This window comes from Homo sapiens, chromosome 12, assembly GCF_000001405.40.
Source record: "Homo sapiens chromosome 12, GRCh38.p14 Primary Assembly".
Classification (NCBI taxonomy): Eukaryota; Metazoa; Chordata; class Mammalia; order Primates; family Hominidae; genus Homo; species Homo sapiens.
In genome coordinates this window covers 40,937,914-40,963,974 of record NC_000012.12, presented here as the reverse complement: position 1 = coordinate 40,963,974, position 26,061 = coordinate 40,937,914, and the positions used below count along the sequence as shown (strand labels likewise).

Here is a 26,061-nt window from a genome sequence, read left to right as displayed (position 1 = left end):
GTGCACTCATGAATGAGAATTTAGATTTGGCAAGCTGCACATAGGTTTCCAAAATAAATCTTGCTGTATAAATCCTGCAAAACTCTTGCCTCTAAATGACACTCTTTTAGCTGAAGAGCTTTAGAAATGTTGTTTGCTAAAAAATATTCATACAGGGCTGTTCACAAGCATCAGACACTTACTTTGACGAGGCAACCCGAAATATACTTTTATGGGACCTAAGAAATAAAAATTTTATTGCAACAACAGAGGAAATTTGTATCAATACTCTTAATGTAGACTTTTATACCAGAAGCCTAAAAACATCTGAAGTGTAATACCTGGTTCTTATTTTAAAGCTAAGGCAATATAAGGCAACATATTTAAGACCTTTAAATATTAACATTTTAAATATTAATATTAACATTTTAAAATATAAATATTTTAAACATTTTAAACATAACGCAACATATTTAAGGCCTCTTAAATATTAAGTAATCTATAGTGATTTAAGTTCTAAATTCCTTCAGGTATATTATACAAACCCCTGTCTTAAAGGGGTGATTCTGAAATTACTCCTTTCACCAACAATATTATTTGGAAAATTGGAAAATTGAGGTCAATATGTGTTCTTCATAGGAAAAAAATAAACTTTCACTAAAATCTTCTATAAGTTATTTAAATGTCATCATATCAAGCATAGCATTTTAATCTCTTGCCACCATGCCTAGCTTATTTTTGTATTTTTGGTAGAGACGGGTTTTTTGCCATGTTGCTCAGGCTGGTCTCAAAGCAATACGCACTCCTTGGCCTCCCAAAGTGCTGGGATTACAGTTGTGAGCCACCACACCTGGCCATCAATTTTCATTTTTTATATAGATTCATATTTTATTTATCTAAATTTGTTAGAATCCTTAGGGGGCTGGTTGAAGGTGTCCTATTTCAGAGTAGATAATCTGCTTTTGCCAGGGTTGTGACGACACAAATGTTTATTTATTTATCTTCATCTTCGATTTTATATGTTAGACCTCCTGGACAACAGCATTTGAAGAAATGTTACTCTTGCAAAAATAATCTCTATACTATAGAAAGACTAACAGAAATGTTGCCAAAGTTAACAGATATAACTCATATAAAAGCCAACTTTGGAAAAGAAAAGTGAAAATTACATGGTCAATACAATCTCATGATTTGAAGTTGTTTGCAGAGCTGGAGGATTAGACAATGCATGCAACTTTACTGGCCTCTTTTCCTCAAGCATCTTTGGACCCAGTTATATGGTAAATAAATTAAAGTGCTATAGCTTTCTATAAGTACACATTTATGCTTTTACAGAATTACAATAGTTCATATCTTATTATCGGGGACATTTTCTACAGATTGTTTTTCTTTGGCGACAATTGCCACTGCTTTCTTCATTTCTAAATCCTACCATACATGACACAAAAAACTCACAGCGGGAGTGTTTTCTCTCAGTAAAAGGCCCCATGAAATCAGATCCAATGCTACATTTTCCATTGACTATATTTTTCCTACATTTAATTTTAGTTTTATATTTAGAGGCATTCAGATTTAACTACTTGACTGCTTACATTCTAAGCTCAATATACAATAAAAAGGCAAGGAATAAATTAAAACACACTTCTTTTCTGATAGAAATTGCTTTCATCATGCTGTATGCATATACTCACCCTTTTCCACCCACAATTACAAATGCGTGCACACATGCACACACACGCACACACACATGTTGATTAGGGCAGCAACACTGTTCTTACTATGTATTCATTTCCTTCAGTGTGATGTAGGCTAAAAGAAATCCACAATCTTAATTATGTCTAAATATTTATACTTTTGTTTCAGTCTTCTCTGATAAGGCATAATCATTTATACACAGAAATAATTTTGTTATAAAAAATTTTTTAGCGATCCTCAGATGAAATTGCTTTCCCCTCTACTGTGTTTACTGTCCTTCTCATTGCACCACTAATTTCAGCAGCTGCAGTTCAGATTACCAATATCTGAATATGGATTAAAATTAGTCCATCTCAAATATGGAAAGTTCTTATAGATTTCTACTGTCTACTACATAACATATTTAATATTTTTTACAAACATGTAATTTTGAAGGGTTGAGTGCAAATCGAATCTTTTAAAAGCAATTCACAATCTAAATGTGCTATTAGATTTAACTACATGAAATGTATTAGTATTTTATTCTTTTGCATAAAGTGAATAATCATCTCTTCAATTTATTTTATTAGAGAGTCTTGATCTAGATGGGGAAATAAAAAATAGATTAGCTTTTTAATGCCTTGTGGGACATTGCTGGCTACGAAAATCTTATGAAAATTACAAATCATTTTCCCAGGAAAATGTACATACACGTAGAATTTTATGTACAATTTCTGGTGGTCCATGGATCCCTTAAAGCCTGTTCATAGACTCCAGGTTATGATTTCCTGAACTAGATACAAAAGTATAATTAAATGAATAAATAGACCAATAATAATATCACTTAAGGCAGGGCATGTCTTATACATTGCTCACCATTATTATTAAAAAATAAAAACAACTGTTTAATTGTCTACCTTCTGGTTTAAATATATAAAGCATATTAGAACATCTATACATGTTTTTGACACAAGTTCTGCAATAGTCAAATATATTTGACTATTTTAATTGCAAATTTCTTTTGATATGAAATGGATACTTTTTCTATTATTAGAAATAAAGTTTGAAGAATGGTTATGACTCTGCTGACTTTAACAGAGGTAAGCAGTATTTTCATGTACCTGTATGGTTTTATTAGCATCCTACTATAGTGCAAGGACTTAAAATGCTGTATACGTTTTTATTTCTACATAATATTGGCTATAGCTTCTTTTTATTGATTCTCTATAAAAATACATATAGTGGTGATAATTAATTACCTAAGTATGTGTGGCTAGTATCATGACTACCCTTGCATTTCATCTGTAAAATTCCTCTTCACTCTGAATATTACAGAGTATTCTATGGTAATAGTACTATGAGTTTACTACAATGTAATCATATGAAGACATTTATGTCCACACACTGTAACATAACTCCTATTGCAATATTAATGCTAATTATTTTCATATGCAAGCAATTTCAATTAAATATACACTTTGGCTACTTCTGGAAATGACTTAACAGCTAGTGGTCTGACTAGGAAGAATGGTGAACTAATCCCTCTAATCCCTCTCCCTAATAATTCTTGAAAACAATCAATGTCCCAGATAACAAAATAAATGAAAATACTGAACCTAAATGAATTTTGTTTGACTTAGGATTTTGTAGTCTCATTTTTATTTGTTATTATTCAATAAGTGGTTTGTGGAATGTATTTCCAAGTTCATTCAGATGAAGAAACTTCAACTAGACTTCTTAAAACTCTATTGGAGAATATATTCAAATGGAGTAGAAGAGTTTTCAGCATTTGCCCAGTGTTGCTTAGGGACCCCATATTAACATTGCTCTAGAGGGAAATGCAGGAGCTGCATGAGATTGAGTAAAATTATATTGACCCAGATGTGGAAGGAGAATTAAAATAAACAAGCCACAAATATCATTTTATTGCCAATTTATCTGATAGTGTGAAAAGTAAAGGCAAAATGTACAATTAATGTTCAATAAATATTTTTAGTAGGTGAAATGTGAAAAAATAGTAATTTTAACTGACACTGAGACAGAAAGAGAGAGCTACGAAACAATGCAAAGGAACTCTGCCATTCACTAAAAAAAAAACATATATGAATTTTACAACTTAGGAGAGTAGATAACTGTGTACCAACTGCTATAAAACATATGAGAGAAAGCAATATATGTTATGAAAATTCAGAAGATCGGAGCTCATATTGGGGACATCAAGAGAAGGATTCATGAACTTAGTATATACTTTAAGACTTGAAGGATGAATAAGATTTGGTCAACAAATCATGAGAAAAAGACATGGAAGGAATACTGTGAATAAAGCAACTGACATGGAAGTTAAAGTGTATTTTTGTGGATTAGTTAGATGGTTGGAGTTGGTTACATGAAGTGAGATATTAAAGGTAAGCAAGCTGGGGTCAACACATGGTACTTCTTGGGTGCAAAACTAAAGGGCAGTCAGTGAAGAGCCAGCTCTTTATTTTAAACAAGGTGTGCTGTGTTCCCAGCCAGCCTCACTGCTATGGCAGCGGCCAGTAGCAAAGGGGTTGCATTTTTAATAAATGTATATTCCATCACAATCTCAATTATATTATTCATAAGAACGAAAACACTAATTTGAAAAAACCAGCAACAAATAAAAACATGATACATGTATAAATTAACTTTACACTCTAAGACAAAAGTGATAAATATATAACAGTTGAGGTTATAGTAAACAGCATCAGTATATATCTTTTCCATAGAAATAAAAAAGGAAACAGCACTATACACAACACACTAAAAAGTATTAGCAGGAAACGAGAACTTTTGGTAAGTCTACAAAGCACAAACATTTAGTAGGAGATATGTGGTGTAACTTTCTAGAAGATACGTAGTTAGTAAAACAAACAAAATCAGTGTTGTTTACTACTTGTCTGGCATAGATCATTCTTAGGCATGGGAAGAAGCTTAAGATCCATTCTTAAGCATGGGATTGAGACTCTAAATATGTAAGAATTTGCACCAGAGTTACCAGAAGATTATACATGTTTATGCAAGTCAAATACTTTTGGTTTTGTAATTTTAAAATGTTGAAACTCTTACCTCTCACTACAAGGTCAGCTGAAGCTGAAGAATTGTCCACAATTGTCTGGGCAGTGCATGTGTATCTTCCAGCATGTTTCAGCTGCGCATTTCGGATTAGTAATTCCCCATTGGAATCCAGCTGTTAGCAAAAACAGCAATTATTCAAATCAGTACATTTTTCACCAATTATGTGGCATTTAAGATCCAAGAGGTAGTTTTTTCCCCTAACAAAATGAACACCACTTAAAGAATGTGTTTTAGACATGCTAACTCTATGTCCTTGCTCTAGGCTTCAGTTTCTCAACTGAAAAATAAAGTGAATAATTTATTGATAAGGTATTTTTTAGCTTTCATATCTTTAACATTCTATTATTTCCACAATCAGAGGGTTATATCGAGAGAAACTCAAGGGATGAAACTATTTCATTGATATCTCTTAAAGAGAAATATTAAGGTCTAATAAGTATCAATAAGTTTTAAGTATCAATGAGTACAAACAAATACTATATGGTTTGGAAGAATGATTGATTTGGTTTCACAAAGCTGATCTAATTGACTAGTTTTAATATGTGCCACAGTTCATTTTACAAAGATACTAAAAGTTTGCAGAAATTGAGAAAATGTACAATTCCACTAACATGTACTCTGTTGCCAAATTATAAGTTCTGCGAGGACAAGAGTATTTGTTTTGTTCAATGCTCTATTCTATTGCCTCCAAGAGTGTTCAACACATATTTTTGAGTCTTGAGGAAATTTTGCTTGTGATGATGAGACACCATTTCAATGTAATTTCCAAAAATAGCTAATAGTTATTCAATGCCTACTCTATACCGGGTCCTGGTCTGTGCAAGTATATACATACATACATACATACACACACACACACACACACACACACACATATATACACACACACATATACACATACATACACACATACAGGCACACACACACATACACACACTTTTATTCAATTCTTTTTTGACAACTGCCCTATGAGATAGGTCTTATTATATCCATTTGATTAACAGTAAAAGTTAGACTTAAGGAATCCAAGTAATTTAACTAAGATAACTAAGGTCACTCAGCTTGTATGGTAGCAGGAGCATGTCAAAGTTCATGTTAATTATCTCCAAGATATTTTCTTAGAATGAAAACTTGGAAAACTCAATTTTTAAATGGACATTTGGTTTTCCTATGAACCAAAAATATTGATTTACTATTTCAGTGATAAATATCTAGATACCTATGATGTATCATGACTGTACATGGAGTGAACGTTTTGCTTCACCATAGGTTCTACCAATAACCTCTTCATATATCATGTTCCCTCCAGTTCTTGGAAAACATTTGGGTTTGCAACCCTTGCTGGATTAATGAGGTTAAGAATAATAGCTGAGAGAGCATATTGGTATAGTTAGTTGGAACAGAATATTAATATCTCCATATAAAGAACTGATCAGTGGCCACACACCTTAATCCTTGATATTAGCCAGTCTTAATTTAATGTCGATTGAGATCTTCCAGTCCCTTGAGGTATAGATTGGTCAAAAATTGAAACAGTTCCCAAGATTTCTACAAATTCCTGCAATAGGGGAGTTTTTTTCCTTCTGTCCTCTTGGTCTGTTATTTATTTATTTATTTATTTATTTATTTATTTTTGTCATACCAGGGAGCTCCAGACTAGAAATTCAGCACTTTCTCTATTTTATCAGAAAACCAAATAGCATGAAGTCTTACCTAGTAAAGTTAGTTTACTGAACAACTGAAGGAGCTGGAACTGGTTATATCAAAAAAAAAAAAAAGGTAGGGTAAATCAACCTTGAAAAGTATCATCCACTGCATAATTCTGTTTTTAAAAGTCCTGTTGGCCGTAAATTTACTGGGAATTTCCCAGTAACCTTCACCTCTCCCAGTGCTCTGCCATCTTGTTGGCAGCCACTCCTACTACCAATCTCTTACTTCTCTCTTCTTTTCTCTTCTTTCTCTTGGAAATAAATAATTCTTATTTTCTCATATTAAGCTGTTTGATTGTTTGATTTTTACTTGGATTCTGACAATATCTATTCTGTTTTTAGTTTTTCCATTTCTTCATTTCTTACTCTTCAATCAATTCTCATCTGAGTCCCACTGCTTCAGCTCATCTTATTTGACTTCTTGATAGCATTTGGCTTTCCTTCCTCAAATACTCATTTTTTTCTAGTCATCTGACTTTCCAGGAACTTCTAGGACATTCTTAACCCCTCCCTTTCTTCAACTTTCTCATAAACTCATCATAAATTCTTGAATTTATCCATTCTTTCCATCACTACTGCCTCTTGTCCAAACTACCCACATCTCTCACCTGAACCCCTACATCTTATTTGATCACTACTTCCACCACTGTTCCACTCTATTCTTTCCTCTATTGGTTACCTAGAATAACCTTTTAAAAATGCAGCTGGGCCCAACTCACTTGTCTCCATAAAAGCAGATAAACTGAAACCTTTAAAATTTCCCTTTCCTGGGACAAAAGCCATAGCATTATTGTAGCCAACTTGATTCCATTCTCTAGGCTCTCTCTGATGCTCCAGCTCACCTAGTGTGCCATCTCACTCACACTCTGCTCTCCAGGCAGAACATTCTCTTTTTAGGACCACAAATGTATCTTGTTCTCTTCAGTCTCTGGTTCATCACATTGTCTTGTCTTCTGGAATTGTGATTCATACCCCTCATAACCTCAATACCCCCTCCCCTATCACCTTCACCTCTACCCAATACCAGTTGAAATCATTTTCTCCAGCAAGTCTTTCCATTTTCTGTGGACTAGGCAGGTACCCTTTCTATATTTTATTATGCTACCATGAAACTTCTGTCATATTACATATCGTAAATGCAGTTAAACACTTTTGTGATTATGTGGTTGAAGTTGTTCTCCCTGGCCGACTATAAGTTTGATGTGAGGAAATACGTCTGTTTTATTTAGCAGACATGTTGTATCCCTGTGTTATATATGTATACAGCTGTATGCGCTGTCTTCTCAAGTCCAGCACAGTGCCAAGCAAATAATCACGCTAAATATGCCTTGTTTGAATGAACTTGTCAAATTGTCAAGAATTTTGGTATCTGCTCTTAAGATAATATGTATTCACTTCTTTTCAGCTACATTCAGAATTATGTTAGCAAGTACATATAACCCATGACAGTGACAGCATTTACTAAACAAATAATGAGGCTTTTCTTGTGTGAGAGTGAAGTACACACACCTTCAGCCTCCACAGATTACCCCTGCACCTAACTCCTGTGCCCCAGCCACAGTGAATAGGGTATACTTTGCTATGTGTTCTCACGTCAAAACTTTGCATATATCACTTGCATTGCCTGGATTGCCCCACCTCCCACTTCCATTACTTGGCTATGAATGTTCAACCCACATTTTGGATACCCCTCCCATATCTGAAATTGTAAGGCTGGATTAGTTATTGCCCTCTGTACAGTTTCATTGTAACTATTCCTTTCTACCGTAATCGTGTCACTGTTGATTTCTTCCACTAGACTGTAATTCCTTAAGGAAAGAACCAGGTCTTATTTATTATTACATACAAAGTACTTAATGTAATATCTGACATACAAGAGAATTCAACAAATATTGAATAGATACATTAAAATAATCTAAAGTGTTTTTATTAAATAGACATTCTTTCAGTAATTTCAAATGGTTTTTTCAGGTAAGATAATGATAATGTTATGAGATAAAATAACTGACTTGAGAAAAACTATTGCTATCCATATCTATGAGATAAACTACCAGGAATGATATATTTCAAATATCTATACACTATTTTCATAAGAAAATAGAAAGGTTATTGGGAAGGTGTGAAAATTTATAGAGAAAACAATATCACTAACATACAAGAAAACTGAACTTCTAACTTTTCCCACCCCTATGTGTAGTAAAGAGTTTAGCCTTGCCCAAAGAGAGGTCTTGCCATTGCCCTCAGCTTCTAGAAGGTAATCTCTATAATATCTTTCTTTGCTTGGGAAGTCTTGGGTCATACAGGATAGTCCAATCATATGATTTAGAGTAGGGGTTAGCCACACCTCTATAGTCTTCAAGCTGGGGCTGGTCATAGAGTAGGAGTTGGGTCATACTGGAAAATCCAACCATGTGATTTCGGGCAAGAGTTAACTACACCTGTAGAGTCTTAGAGAAGGGCCTGGTCATGCCACAAATAGGACATTTTGACTTAGAGTAGGGTCTTCGATTCATGTGGTATCAGTCAACCTAGAGACTGAGATTAACCATGTGAGCAATGAGTCCATCAATCATGTCTAGTTGATGAAGTCCCCCCAAAAACTCTGGACAGAAAGGCTTGGTAAGCTTTGCTGGTTGGCAGTACTTCAAGCATACTGTCACACATCAGAGCAGTCAGAGTAATGCATTTTAACTGCACGGGGAGAAGATAATAGAAGCTCTGTGTTTTGTACTTCTTGACTCTGCCCTGTGTGCTTTTTCCTTTGGCTAATTTTAATTTGTATCCTTCTCCTGTAAGAAGCTGTACCCATGTATATAACAGCTTTAAGAGAATTCTGTGAATACCTTCTAGCGAAGCATGGAAACTGAGGGTGATTTTTGCAACCCCTTGAACTTGCAGTTGGTGTCAGAAGTGAGGGTGGTTTGGGGGACTGTGCCCAACTTTGCAGCTGGCCTAACTTCTTATACTAAATAGAATTCATCTAACAAAGGAGGTAAAAGATGTTATTTTATTACTTATATTAAAATTTTTTTTGAGGTAAGCAGAGAATAAGATTCATATATAGAGAAGGTAAATATGAGTTTTTCTTGGTCTATCATAAAAGTTAATTGACATATATGTCTAAGTAATTTTTAGTGAGGAAAAATAAAATATAAAATAATTATTGTAAAATAAAATAAACATTACATATTTGTTAAATAGACTGTTTTGATGTTTCTTGACATCCTTAATACAAATGCACTTGATACTAAATATTCAATAATATAAATGTATTAAGTAAAATCTTTCAAACTATTACGACACAAAATGATAGTTATATTTGGAAAGAATAATGTCTGCATACAAGTAAAAAGCACTTTTTTGGTATTTATTCATTAAATGAACTCAGTACTTTGGTTGCTTCGGTGTCTAATTGAAAGATAACCCTGTTACTAAACTCCCACTATTTCAATGAGCCATGTCATTAGATTTGAATTTTCAAAAAAATCACCTTAGCAATTTAAAATGTTTCTTCATTGAACTTTACAACAAAAAATTGAGGGCAGAAAGTAATATAAAAATAAACATATTGTGGTATCATAATTGCCCTTTTAAAAATATTTATGTGATGTATCTAATCTTCTTTCTTTCTTAATGAAATTGCTATCTTTTTTCCCTAAACTCTCTTTGAAACATGGTGCTGTTTATACATTCACTTATTTTATTCTGATAGGAATAATGTGGTCATTCTTCTTATACTGTCACATGTAATAAAAAGCACAAACTGTTTTATATCCTAGAATACATTATATTAAATTTATATTTATTAATTTTTCACCATGAACTCTTTTACGATTTTTAAACTACTCTAAAAGTTTAATGTTAAACTAGTTTGAAAATTAACTCTTTTATCGATAAGCCCACTTGCATAAAGCAGTAAGAAGCAACTGTAATGTTTATTCTCACTGGTTCTACATTTGGTGAACATGTAGCAATAAAACTTCTCAGAAGGAAAGAAGAAAAAATATAAAGTATCATTCCCAATATAGTTGTGTATGTATGAAAGCACTCCTAAAGTTTTTGTAAATACTACTAGCACTTTCCATACCTCAAGAGAAGTTGAGGTCCTCAGTGGTTGGCAGAACGCTTACAAAGCAAGTAAAGATCATGGGCCTCAGCACATTCTAGCCACAAATTAGATACAAATGCTCACTGTATTTTTACTAAAAGCCACAGCTTGGCTCAATTACAAAATTCCTCCCTTCAGATGAGGAGAGTTGAATCACATACTGGAAATTGTGATAGCAAAGCTCAGGGATGTTCCAAAGTGTATATGTGGTTGACCACTTAGAAGTTTCCCAAGTTTAAATCAAAAGACTTCCAACATATAAATACCCAGCCCTTCCTTCACCTTCCCCCGTAAACTAACTGCAAAATCATTTCTGCAATGTAAATGAGTCTCAGTGATGACGCTGTATTAACAAATTGAATTAATCTTAGTGAACAAAGAAAGATTCTATATGGTACAGAAAAGGTCTAGATAAAACTTAGAGCTCATAATTGTCATTTAAATAATTTGTTCCATTCAAGTTCAGAGTAAAGGGAGAGATATAGATGTTTGGAAAGAAGTGCATCCTTTAAAGAATATGTTTCACAAACATAAAAATTATTAAATATGTCTGATATATGCTATATCCATGAAATAATAAAACGTTTCTTCTTTACTTTTGGCTTGTTAGAGTAGAGAAAGCAAAAATACTATAGCAAATATGTCATATCCAACTGCAAACATTACTACCACCACCAACTCTACTAACAGCAGATATTTAATTAGGGTTAACTAGGTGTCAAAGGTTGTTATAAATATACATGCGAACTGACTTACTCTTAATAACAAGCCTATGAGATACGTACTATTTTTAGCTGTATTTTACAGAGGAAGACACAAAACTACTATAACTATAGCCACTAATATTACTAGTGTCGCTATTAATACTACTAAAACTGCTCCTATTACTATTAAAATGGCTAATATAACTTCTATTGTTACTGCCACTACTGATACTACTATTGAACTCCTACTATTACCAAATCTAATTTACTGAATGTTTTTTAAATGTCTAGCAATGTGCTAGCTACTTTACATACATTTTCTTATTCAATTTATGTAATTATATTTATAATTTCATAGCCCTAATAATGAAACTAGGACTATCTCCTTTTCACTTCTGAGTTCCAGAAGTAACACTACCCAAAGATTTACTATTAATATTCCCATTTTAGAAATAAGGACCTTGAGATTTTACATTAAGCTACTTGTGGAAGGCTCCATAGGTAATATATAGCCCTAGTTTCACCAAGTCAAGCTGTTTCCAAGGTAGTGCTTAATAGATCAGATAACTGGATTTAGTGTTTGGTAAGTAGATGTGGTGCTTCTTCATATATGATATGTTGTTATTTTACTTATTTTTTTGCTATTTAAATTTTCAAGCATAAGTAGAAAGAATAGTACTATCACCATCTATAAACCAGCCAACTAGATTAACAATTGTAAACTTTTTGCCATATTTGCCTTATCTAATTGTCTAGCTAACTAGCTCTATATTTACTTCTCTCTGTCCACTATCTCTGTCTTTCTGTCTAGGACTGAACACTTGAAAAATAAATTCCGGATATTATGATATCAATACTACTCAACTCATCAACTCATCAGCAATTTCTAAAGACATTAGCTTGAATCTCAAAAAATTGAGGTCATTTTCTTACATAATCACAAAACCATTTTCCTTTTCTTCTTTTTTTTTTTTTTTTTTTTTTTTTTTAAATTTTGAGACAAAGTCTCACTCTTTCACCCAGGCTGGAGTGCAGTGGCACAGTCTGGGCTCACTGCAACCTCCACCTCCTGGGTTCAAATGATTCTCATGCCTCAGCCTCTCGAGTAGCTGGGATTACAGGTGTGCACCACCACCCTAGGCCAATTTTTGTATGCAAAACCATTTTCACACATAACATAATTAACAGTAATTCTCTAATGTTATCTAGTTTTTGTTAGGGTTATTTTAAGAAATGCATCAATATTAAGATTGAGTCAAAAACATAAATAAAATGACAAAACAACTTATTAAAGTGAAGTGATGTCATTGGACATACAAAAAAATAAATAAGGCAAGTTGTCCAGGATAATTTCTAAGATTACTAAGATAATTACTAAGAGTGTGTTTGCATATAAATTAAGAGTAGACGTGTTGAAAATCTCTAAATTTGGCTATTTTTGTATGTAATAAACAACGAGAATGACAGCTGAAGAGTCCAATTTTGATCAGCTGGCCATTTTAAATGAAAACTCAAAAGACCATTTTCTTTGAGGTTTCTCCTAAGCATTTTGAATGATGGACAAAAACATCAATGCCTTTGATTTGGAACCTATGTTTTAGAGTTGAAATACAACTCATATATCATTTAATTTATATGGTTTTCAAGTTGGTTCCCCTTAGCTTTAGAGTTCTAAAAATCTTCTTGGACCACTTTGTAGAAAAAAGTGATCAGAATGGACATTTTATATATTATATTATATATATATGCTTAATTCCATTCACCTGGCATTCTTATATATATATATGCTTAATTCCATTCACCTGGCATTCTTATCAACAAATGCTTAGTAAGGACTATGAGAAGTTAGGCTAGAGAGTGACATCAGCTAACATGGTCTATACATGGGAAGTGTGATGATCTTAAAAGAAGCTAGCCCAACTGAAAACACACCCAGGAACATAGATACCTTCCTTCGTTTAACACTGGTAAATAGCAAATAAAATATAGCAGTTAGGTATCAGTAAAGGTTTATTAAGGTAGTAAAAAGGGGATCAGAAAAGTTATATATTCATACAGAATGAAGTATGATAGAATTATCTAATTAACTCTTTTCCAACTAACTACTGATAAGAAAAATAGAGCAATTTGACATTGGCCGAATGCTTTTGTATGTTTTGTGTGTCACAAGACTGTGCCAGGAGCCTGTATACTTTTTATGTATTTCTCCCTCTTTTCCACTGCTCATCAAAATTTAAGAGTCTTAAATTCAAGAAGCACATAAAACCCATCCTCTACTACTTAAACTATTTTGGATATGCATTTTGAAAAATCTAGTTTCTTTTTATTCGTGTCCCCAATACTCTCAGATGCTCAAAACAATATAACATCTCTTTGTTTCCAATACATCATGCTTAAAACCTTGCAGTGGCTAGTCCCAGTATTGCTAAGTCTCTTTTTTAATATCTTTCTTGAGGACGTTTCTCAAGCTTGGTTCTATCGATAATTTGGGCCAGATAATACTAGGTTTTTGGAATCTGTCTTGTGCATTATAGGATATTTAATAGCTAAATAGATGCAATACACACACACACACACACACACACACACACACACACACACACACACCCTCTCAACACCTCTACAGTTGTGATAACCAAAAATGTCTCCACATGGGACCAAAGTTACAATACTTCAGGGCTTCCACGATCTCCCTGTGGCTGCCTGGTATCCTGCTCTAATTTTTTTCGGCTCGAATCTGATTCTTACCAAGGATTATTGCCCAACCGTCCTCGTTTTCTCCCACATAATTCTGGATAATCTTAACCTTCTTGTTCAACAGTGAATAGAGGCCGGGTGCGGTGGCTCATGCCTGTAACCCCAGTGCTTTGGGAGGCCGAGGCGGGTGGATCACCTGAGGTCAGGAGTTCGAGACCAGCCTGGCCAAGATGGTGAAACCCCATCTCTACTAAAAATACAAAAAAATGGTCAGGTGTGGTGGCAGGCACCTGCAATCCCAGCTACTTGGGAGGCTGAGGCCAGAGAATTACTTGAACCTGGGAGAGGTTGCAGTGAGCCGAGATTGCGTCATTGCACTCCAGCCTGGGCAACAAGAGCTAACCTACGTCTCAAAAAAAAAAAAAAAAAAAAAAAAAAGAAAGAAAAGAAAAGAAGAAAACCCACAAAAACAGCAACAACAACCAAAATAGTGAATAGAGACAATGAAATATTGAACAATGAGATCACATGGACACAGGAAGGGGAATATCACACTCTGGGGACTGTTGTGGGGTGGGGGGAGGGGGGGTAGGGATAGCATCGGGAGATATACCTAATGCTAGATGACGAGTTAGTGGGTGCAGCGCACCAGCATGGCACATGTATACATATGTGACCTGCACAATGTGCACATGTACCCTAAAACTTAAAGTATATAAAAAAAGAAACCTTTCTTTCTAGTTATAAGCATTCTACATAAAATGTAAATAAAAATAAAAGATTAAATTGTAAAAAAACAAAAAAAAAAACAAATTGACTTCTGTTTTATCATTTTTCCTCTCCTTTTTCTTGTCTTGCAGAAACAAAATTTCTGTACAAGATCACAGCATGATCTAGTTTTAAATACATATTTGTAAAATCTAAAGACCTTTTTTGATATGTTTAATAAAATTTTTCTTTAAAAAAGGAAAATAACGTTTGGGTGAGAAATCTGTCTTCTTCTCTCTTGAATGGTATTGCTTATGCACTCAGAAAAAATGCACACCCACATACCTGCAAACACACACCTAGCATACCTGTCTACAGGGGATCATTAGGAATTGCCAGGAACTTCATAGTTAGACCACTTGAAACTGTGTAGACATGACTTACAGTGTATTGCAAAGGTGGCCAACAGTGTAGGGAGAATGAAGTAATTTGGGCAATCTGAGTGAGCATACAAGGTTCATTAAACCAGATTAGAGAATAAAATGTGAATTGAACAGTATTGCCTTGTAGAGCATCAAATACTTATGGGAGAATTATTTAAATAGACACAGACATGAACATTAACCAAAAGATGAATCAAAGTGGTGGAGATTACAGGGTTGGCAGTCAGGCCACCTGGTATCAAATCTTCTGTTAGCCTCTAGCGACTTGTATGATTACATGGGACCAGTTACTCAACTTTTCTAATACTCACTTTCCTCACTTTGAAAACTGAGAAAATCACAATAATATGCACTCCACAGAGGATTTCTGTGAAGATCAACTGAGAAATATGTGAAAAACATTTAACCCAATTCTGTCTAAACAGTAAGCCCACAATAAATGTTGGCTATTATTACCTCTTCACTGCCTTCAGCAATGAAATACCCAGATTTTTTTTTTTTTTTGGTCTCAGTCTAAGTATCCAGCACAGCAAGCAGTGCAAGTATTAAATTGTGAAAAATGAGATCTGTGGCTCAAAAAAAAAAAAAAAAAAAAAAAGAAAGAAAGAAAAACTAGCTAGCAAAAGCTTCTGGAATTTCCAATGGGGGATGATTGCTCTCTTATAAAAAGTATTAATAACCACTTATATACTTTATTCGTGTCCCCAATACTCTCAGATGCTGTGCCAAGTCTCTATATGCACTCTTTCATGAAGTAACTAGTTTTTCAAACCCAGTGAAGTAACCTGAATGAAGTAAGTGAATGATTAATCACGTTTTACAGAGGGAAATTCTGAGGCTTAGAGAATTTTAATCCCTGGATCAGAGTCACCACATAAGAGGTGAGAAAATGAAGCCTAAAGCCCAGGTTGGTTTGTGACACAATCTCTGAACAATTCAAGTGATATTTATGAATTCATATAAGACAGGCAATAATGTCCCACAGTATTACAAATTTAACATGTATTTGTAATAAGAGTAATACATATGTGTGTGTGTGTGTGTGTGTGTGTGTGTGTGTGTGTGTGTGTGTGTATATATATATATATATATGAAATAGTGACAATCTCCAAAACTGGAAATTTTAAGGAACTCATGTAATTAACTAACTTAATGGCTCTAAGCAGGGAATGTTGTTAAACAGTTGAAAGAAAATGACCCAAAGTGAATGTCAAAAATTGAGGGCTACTGAAAAATTCTACAGGTTAGGTGCCACCTTGAAAGAGGAATAAAATGAGATATTTAAAATTCATATTTTTGATAGATTGTCTTAAGTCTTTTCTGGAACAAGAAAAGTTATACATTAAATGAATAAATAAAATGGCTCTGCCTTTTGTATTTACTCCAAGGCATTAAGTAGCTATTGAATTAGAAAGCCAAAACAGGAGCCACTTTATAATTGGACTTGAAACATTTATGATCATTTGCCATATAACATCAACAAAATAAAAGAATGGCAGATAAACTGCTTTAATATCTTATTGTATCAAAGCCTCAGATTTATTAAATTTCTGCTTCGAGCTTGTATTTTTAACATCCCCCATGCATGAGTTCAAGTTCCAGTGGAACATCTGACAATTATTACATATTAATATAATACTCAGGAAATTTTTAGATGTTTAACTCCTTAGTGTTTTTCTATAATCAGTACTAGGTGTGCAATTACTGCCTTAAAATTGAAAGTTACATTAAAAAATAAATTAATCCCAAAGTTTTACATAAAGTAGGATTACTAAATACAAAGACAGTGTTATTTTTGCTTTTTTGGTGTTCCCATTAAACTCTTAAAAGAAATATACATCTTTAAAAATGTACAGTTACATTTTTCCTAATAATTACATAACTTTAATTAGAAAAAATATAAAGAAGACATTTAAAAATCACCTATAATCTCACAATTTATTCATAAGTAGGAGCAAATGCATTTGTTTAATTTCATGAAGGAAAAGAAGTCCCAAATTACACCGGGCTGTGAAATTTGAATCCTTATACAAGGTTGCCCCTTAGTGGTTAAAATCAAGAATAGCAAGCTAAAATCAGTGCATACTTAATTATTGAATTCAATTTATTATTGAAACTAAATTGGAAAATAAAAACTTAGGTTCTTGAAATAAAAAGTTTAAAATTTGATTTCCCTATTCCTTTTTATTATTAGTCAGAACTTCCTGTATTAGTTTTTAGCAATGAAAATTGTTAGAACATGTTAATTATGTTGGTTTTGTTAACTGTAATAGCTACCAAAAAACATTTACATCTGAATCTTAAACTCTTGGGGTATCATTGGTTTATTTTGGGCTGGTGTCCATGTCTATTTCAGTGTTTTATTTAACCTAGTGCCTACAACTGTGTCTGCTTATGGCATGTGCTTAGTACATATTCTTAATGAACAAATGCTATTCAATTGTTGAAATATTGGGAGAACTACATAAAATACCAAATCATTATTTAAGAGACATATATATATTCACTAAGATTTTCATAGGAGGAGCCACTAATTCTGAGAATGATCTATTAACAATCCTAGAAGCAATTAATAGCTGTTAGGACTATCTTCCAAAAGGTGGATCAAATATTTATAGCGTTTTTACTTAAATTTTGCATGGCATATTGACCAGTGAAGTTTAACTTTGTAGTTTGCCTTAAAAGAGAAGGAAGGTGCCAGGGATAGCTTCATTAGTCTTGTGTTGGTTTGAAAGATAGAATTCAGTTTAATTATTTATTTTAAAATGATTCTTATCCAGGCTTTTTAAAAATCGAGATAATTGAATGCATCTGTCCATCTATGACATGCTAAACATGTGCATTTGATATTCTGATTCAATTAAGATGCTTATCTAGTCAGTTGAGTAGGTTTGCTCCCACTGTCAGATCATTATTTGATGGAATGAACTGAAACCTGAGGTGGTGAGCCTGCGGTCAGGACTCTGCTCTGGATTAGCTGGAGGGGTAACTATGTGAATCTCTGCAGCTATCATCTGAAAAGGGAGAGTGTGCACTAAGTGGCCACAAGGTCTTTTACATTTTTATGGTCTAATTTATTATTTGTTTCCTAATTAGTATTCCAGTTATTTCTTTGTTTTCCTGTTTTTTTTTTTAAAGGGGACTGGGATCTATTTTTCTTTCTCTTTAAATTCCTTTTTTTTTCCATTTTCTTTTTGCAGTCATTATTTACATGTACCAGCACAATGTAATTAGTATTTTAAAGAATATAAATAAGCTCTAAATATGAAGTTTCAGTTTAGGGCAATTTTTGTCTGCAAATTTATTTACATAGACTTCATTGCAGCTATTAGTTACTACTTTATAAACTATGGTTGTGGAACTTCTAGACTTTACTTTTGAAATTATTCAATTTATAACACCAAAGATAATTCTTTCAAATTCAGAAGCCTACTTTTTGAGAAAGTAAGATCCCTGTTTAGCTTACTTTTTTCCTTTAAAATGAATAAAACCCAAGTTGTATTTACTTTTCTTGCAAAATAAAATACACTTTAAATAAAGTATTGGAGATTTTGGTGCCAATTTGACTAATTTTGGGCATGTGCAAAATAGTTTCAGATCTATAAGGAAAATATATTACATGGTATATAATGTCAAAATACAAAATTTACAGTTCTCTGCCAATTCTCAATTGTTATTCTTTAAAGTATAATTTTGGTTCAGAAACTGAAAGAGTATTGGTATGTTTACTAGAGGTGTACAGTTGTAGCTAGATCAGTTAAATTACAACTCTTCTAAAGCTAAAAACATAGCTGGACAATATGAAAGCATAATATAATAATGTGTACATATCAATCTTCAGATTTTATGGGACTTAAACAATCCTAAATGTCCTACTGAGTTCATTTGTGCTTCTTTTTTATATTAATAACTGACTTCTAAAATAAAAGTTTTCCTAATTATGCCTATGTTCTAAATATGTCCTTAGTCTTACAAATGTTTGCTTTTCTAAAGAAGAGGCTGATAGGGCCAGTGATTAATTTACTTTTTAAATACACTGTAACCTAGACAGCCTACCAAGACACCAACAATGTTCTTACACAAGTTGTTTTGCCTGCATTACTTCTCAGTCTTTTCCCTCTATTTTATTTCTTTCTACACCTTGACTCTCTATATCACTATGTTTAACTATAGGACTTGTAGAATGTAACACCTTTCAATTCTTAAAATATAGCCATTTAACCCTCTTCAAATCACATAAACTAATTCTCCAAATTCTCCAACATATATAATTTTGTCTCTTTCTTACTCTTAAAGCATAACATAAATGCTTTAAGATCATCATTATAACAAAGATTAAGTTCTATGCTCTTCATTTAAAGTAAAAAGGAAGGCACTAGAACCAAGGGCACATATATACTGATGTAATACACATCAATTGTATTAAAATTAAGGGGGAAATCATACCTAAAGCCCAATTAATATTAATTGATTAATATTTATACCAAAATCCTCAGGGCTAGCCATTTTAGAAAGATTTAGCAGTACAACAGTTAATATAAGGAGAACCACAGAAAGCTTTTTTGCCTGCTTTTTGGTCTCATGAAAAACAAAGATGATATAAAATGTGATTATAGTAATAGAACTTTCAATGCAGACACATAGGAATCACTGGGGTGTTAATAAGATGAAACTTAAAACACATACCATAAAATTCCTCTGGTAGTGAATATTCTCTTTGTTAAAATCGATCACATAGCCATTGAAGGACCAAACAAATGTGAGATCCAAGGCAGGATCAAAGGACGCAGCACACTGCATGGTGGCGTTTTCTCCAACTGTGATATCGGCATTAATTGGGGCCAATATAATTCGCGTAGGATCTATATATTTTTAAATGTAAAGCACAATTCAAGAAGATATAAGACACAATATTATCTGGTATATTAAAATAATAACCAATATATTTTTATTTGTGCAAAATAATAAGATGTTTTCACTTCCAAATTCCAAGAACAATATCATCAAGCAAGAAACTTGCCTGAAATTCTTTTGAAAAAGAAACTTACAAATACATTGACTGTTTAGATGCTTAGTGCTGAATCATGTTTTTTAATACATTAGAAATTAAGCACCCTCAAACATTAACTTACCTGTGATAACAAGGGTTCCAGTGCTATTAGCTTTCCCTCTGTTATTTTCTGCAAAGCATGTATAGATACCTCCATCATTCCTTGTAATGTTGTTGATTTCCAAGCTACCATCTTCCCAAATGAGTATTCTAGTGAAATAAAAATATATATAATTCACAAACCTGATTTAGTAAAATACATTATTATGTCTTAGATTACAAACACTAATATTTTTCAATTATTACATTCTATATAAATCATGCGACCACAGACATTTTTGTAAGATGACAAATTCTAGCCTTTAGTTATAATATTTTTTCTCATCATTGACATTTTGTTTTGGAAATCCACTTTCATCTTTTTCTTGAACTATTGCCGTAGTCTTCTAACTGACCTTCCACTATGGGACAGGCTGAAATCAGTCATAGGCCTGAAAGAAATGAGCCCCGGTCTCCCAGAAATGTAACCTCAGGACTTCAATTCAGACTAGGAGGTGAGGACAGATTGCCATTTCCATGGCTACAGAGAAATATAAATGTATTTTATTTTTAGAAACTTTAAAAAATATTTTAAAACCTCCTTAGTAACAACTTCTGGAACAAATTAATATTTAGGAAATTCTTCTTTGAACAGAAACTAAGTCTTTCATACTACACATATTTCCCTACCTGTCAGCCTCTTCCTCAGGGGATGGACACTAAAAACTCACTAAGTTTTATTGTATAGAAACTCACACTTAGATTAAATATTGAATTGCCTGTCATTGGATTTTTTACTTTCTTTAAATAGATAATTTTCAAAACTAAATTATCTTTGAAAGTTTGCACAAAACATGCAAACGTATATCCATTTTAAGGGCAAAGTCTGATAAAAGAAGCAAAACTATCTACCTTACTGATAAAAATCTTCATATAAGAAAATAACAAAATTTCCGCTAACATTATAGTCCAGGATTTCCTTTCCTTTCTTGAACAATCCAGTCCTGACTTGAAGCTCATTTCAGAGTACTTTTTGTTGTTGAAGGAGAAATGAAGTATCAAAATAATATAATGATAAAAGTAATTATTTAAGATCATGGAAGCTCTGAGAATATGCCACTCTCCAACTCTGAGGAGTGTAATTTATTCTCTGTCCCAGACGCCGTACTCAGAAATCCATCACTGTGTTTATTCAAAGCCACACATTCCACAGGCTGTTCTTAGCCAATGACTGACCATGGGAGGAATTTTAAACCAGGCCTGCTCCTGGAAGACAGCAAACTCCTCTGATATGCATTTTTGAATGGAAGACTTTCCAGTGGCATGACCATACTCTTAGAAGTGCAGTGCAGTCCAAGTCATTTCAACACAATCTTTTTTCCTTCCTTCCCTCTGTCCTTCATCTGGGATCAGACCTGTATCTCAGTAAAATACTTTTCCAAGCCTCCACCAGCTTCCTCTCTATTTTCCCTCCCATGCATTGCCATTAATTAATTTCTTACATAGCTAATCTTCCTGGCTTCAGCTTCTTGGAGGACACATATTAACACAGTACCAATATTAATGGGTCACACTTTTTCTCACTACCCTCTAGTATAAATCCTCAGCCAAGTTCCCACATCCCTTTCATTTAATTATTTTTCAAGAAGCACAACAAAAATTATAATGAAGTAGCAGTGGAAAAAACAATGATGATTCTTTCTTAAATCATGCTAATATTTTTAGCTTACTTATGTTAGTTTTCAATTGATCTTTTACCATCTTTAAAGGGTATACATAATTCCATGTGTCATTCGTCTCATTTATACTTTCAGGTACTTTGCCTTTGAGATTAAAATTACTTTTTAATAAAAATATTTAGAAAACCTGATTTTTTTGTAATAATTCTCTTTATTCTTAAAGTAATATAGACTAAACTCTCAAGATCTTATCCTTATTTCCAGATACTATGATATAGATCAGCTGTCAAACAAACTAGGAACAATCTGGTCTTTAACCAATTGGTCACTTATTGGTACCAAAATTACTCCAGAATAACCTCTGGAGTAGAAAAGACTAATGAAGATCCCTTCCTATAAGTGGTTTAAATAAAAGTGACCTTAGAGCTAATAGCAATCCATTGAATTTAAATTAGCAACTAACTTAATTCTGCTAATTACAAAGAAATTCTGCTGCAGAAAATATATCATTTGAGCCAAAAATAAAATCATAAAATGAAAACCTAATTACTATTTATCAAGATACATAGCTTCTTCCAAATATCATATAAACCACTCTTTAGGCACTAACCAGATACAGAAATAACTTAGTTACGTGGAAATGTTGTTTATAATTATATTCAGAAGAATAAGATTATATTTATGCTTAAAGACCAATATTTAGTTAGTCCTTGTGTATTCTTTTTCAAAATAGACACCAAAATTTTTATGTTTAGCTTTTTATACATCTTATTTTACAATTCAAATATATTTGCATATGAATACTATATCTACTATTAAATAGTATTTACACTGAGATAGTAATGGGTTAAAGTACTAAGTAAAAATTAGATTTATAGACTCTTTAATCAAGGAAATAATGCAATTTGATTTCAAAGGCTTTAAAAATATCAGAACACAATCAAACTTGTAAAATTTCAGGAGCTAGATCTTTCTCTTCTTTTTTTGAACACATATTGATATTTAGGAAAAACAAGTCCATGAAACATAGTTCTGGGAAATCCTTGGTTGAAGAGGTCCATGACATGGGTCTTCATCAGAATCAGAAAAAGATTTTATTATCACGGAAGAGAACTAATGGTTTGTCCATTGGGGAATGCCCTGCTCTAGGCTGTGGAAGGAGTAAGCACCTACACATGTAGCTGCCCTTTGATCATGGTCTCTGCATTGCTCATTGTCTGACCATTAATGTTTCAGCGGCAAATTGAACAAATGGACTTTTCCTTTAACCCTTCTTGTAGTATCATTTTGTTAAAATCTTAACAACCCTGAGGTCAAACATATTAACTTTAAAAGTCAGTGTGTTCAGGGAAGCCCCTGATGTCCCTGCCCTCTTGCCCCATTCCATAAACAGCCGTGCCTGTGCTCATCCTAATAAGAGGGCTGTGCTGGCATATTCTCAATTTATATCAATGTCTTACAACTTCAAGTTCTAGTTTAGATAGCATGAATATATTTTTGCAGAAGGTCACTTTAACTTTACCAAGCTTTAGACACATCAAAATATGGATGATAATTCCCATGTTACTTTATTGGGTTACTGTGAAGAAAATAATGTATTTTCTACATCTGAGTAATAACAGTCTTTCAAATGACAAAAGTGATCCTTGTCCTCCCTTGTTTAAGACTTTAAACAGATTTATATTACTCTTAGATGAAGCCCAAGCCCCTTAGCATAGAAAACTTTGTCATTTATGATGTGGCTTACTATGTCTCATCTCTTAAAAGTCTCCTCCATTTTCCTCTAAAGACAAATCACACTGATTTCAGTTTCTGCAATTTCTTACACATTCTAAACTCCTCACCATAGGGCCTTTGTACATGCTGCCCTCACATTCACATACACCCTCACATACACCCTCACATACACCCTCAAGCCAACCCACACATCCCATCCCTCCCATTTCCCATCCTGGCTTTCTCCTCGTCATAATTTTTGCACTCAATATTACTTCTTCTAGGATACATATAAACTATTCAGTGTGGCTTTTATACAAATAATCTATATAAGTTGTACACTGCTTTTTCATTTTGTCCCCAAACCACCAAAACATTGGTAGATGGTCCATTTATAAGGAAGATGATGATAACATCTTGTTCATTTTGAGATAGGAAGAGATTATTTGCACTTTGAAATCACCTTTTTATTTTTCTACAAAAATATTTAATAGGCTAACTGCACAAAATTCAGTTGAATATGAATGGATATAGATGCCAGATGCCTATACTGGGGAAAAATATGTTAGAGAGATCCTACTTTATTTCCCATTGTTTATTAGCTGTGTGACATTGGGCAATTTATAACAACAAGACAACAAAAAAACACCTCTGAGCTTCAATTTTCTAAATTCCTTATACATTATAGAGTCCTGTTAATTAAACCTTCATTATAATAGATACTGACAGGGATAGGTATTTCTGTCCATCTTAGAACTACAGGATCTTCTGTGAAAAAAAAAATTCAGAGCAAAAAACATTTTCATTATTAACATATAAACAAGTCTTCTATAAAATAAACTTTTTCAAACAGATTTTGCAATTGGATTTCTAGTTTCAGCACTGACCTGCTGCTATTGACAAGCCACTCTGTCCCTTTACTCCATGAAAACTTTGGTTTCGGTGCAGCTTTAGGTTTGCATTCAATTATCACCCTTCCACCTTTAGCAGCCAGGATCTTTTTCTTCATAGGATTCATTTCAAAAGTTGGAGCCAACGCTAAAAAGAAAACAAATTGTTATCTTTCTCTTTCTGTTTGTAAAGCCTAAACATTGCTTCTGTGTTGTAGAATCTTTTATTCTCCTTAATAGTTAATGGAAAGGATTAATCTCGGTAAATATGATCAGCTGTCACCAATAGGCATTCTATACCTAATGCTTTGTAACTTTTATTTAATAACTTTGACTTATAAAATTCACCCAATTCAAATGTACAATTCTTGATGATAACTGAATTGATTATTAGAAACTTTAATTAGAATCCAGGCATGGGTGGCTCACACCTATAATCCCAGCAGTTTCAGAGGCTGAGGTGGGCAGATGGCTTACCCAGGAGTTTGAGAGCAGACTGGGTAACACGGCAAAACTCCATCTCTACCTAAAATACAAAAAAATTAGCTGGGCATGTTGGTGCATGCCTGTAGTCCCAGCTATCCAGGAGGCTGAGGTGGAGGATCACCTGAACCTAGAAGGTCAAGGCTGCAGTGAAGCGTGATCGCCTCACTGCACTCCAGGCTGGGCAACACCGTGAGACCCTGTCTCAATAAATAAATAACTTCAATTTCAATCAAATGTTTTATACACATTTACCTTAAAATTAACTCTGAATTCTGTTGCTTTGACTCAATTCCACAAGGAAAGTAAAGTGAAAGGCTGGAAAAAATTGACCAGCATTATACACACTGACATATGGTCCTAGTCAATCCTCTAAACCACATGTTGAATGAACTATTCCCAGTTTATAAATGAGAAAATTGAAATCTATTAGGATTATTTAATTTGGCAAAGGTACCACAGGTAGTAATAAGTGGGAGTCACATTTGAATCTAGGTCCTTCTGTTTCCAAAGCATGTACTTTTCATTAAACAATGCAGTCTCTCCTTCTTTATACAATTACTGAGCATCATCTGTATGCAAACACCCTGCAAAATGCCAAAATAATTGGAGTCCTGCTTTCAGGATCTATCTATAAACAGCTATGGGAATAATGGATCTAATCAACTAATTAAGGAGACATGATCATTTGTAGTTCATCATTACCTCCAAGTACAGAGCAATAATTATTAGAACAGAATACAGAGGCTTAAAAAAGGTTACTTCATTGATGTCATGCTCAGACTTTCCTCAGCATCCACACATTTAATCCACTGCTCACTCTCCTCTTCCCTTGGCAGACTCCAAGCAGATTTCATCCATATATTTCAACACATTACAATCATCCGTAACTATGTACTTTCTGGAGGCTTTTCTAGGCCTAAGCATATCTTCATCTGGGTTTTGACTCTTCATCCTCTGGTCTGGTCATTCTCAAAATTATCTTTGTATTAAAATCATCTGGGTATCTTTTTAAAGTGTCCATTCAGTAGGTCTGGGGTGAGCCTGGGATTCTGCACTTCTAATGTGCTCCTAGGTATGGCCACT

At 33.5% G+C, this 26,061-nt stretch overlaps 1 protein-coding gene across 11 annotated transcripts in view; it reads right to left on the bottom strand.

The window, feature by feature from the left end:
• CNTN1 (contactin 1) overlaps window positions 1-26,061 on the bottom strand; it is a 379,977-nt gene that overhangs the window by 108,441 nt on the left and 245,475 nt on the right. For all 11 annotated transcript variants that reach the window (XM_011537926.4, NM_001843.4, XM_024448843.2 and 8 more), the window contains 4 exons: window positions 24,490-24,640; window positions 20,251-20,378; window positions 19,805-19,980; window positions 4,741-4,861 (listed from right to left, as the gene is read on the bottom strand). In XM_011537926.4, the coding sequence (XP_011536228.1) occupies window positions 4,741-4,861; window positions 19,805-19,980; window positions 20,251-20,378; window positions 24,490-24,640 (576 nt within the window). The remainder of the gene's footprint in view (window positions 1-4,740; window positions 4,862-19,804; window positions 19,981-20,250; window positions 20,379-24,489; window positions 24,641-26,061) is intronic.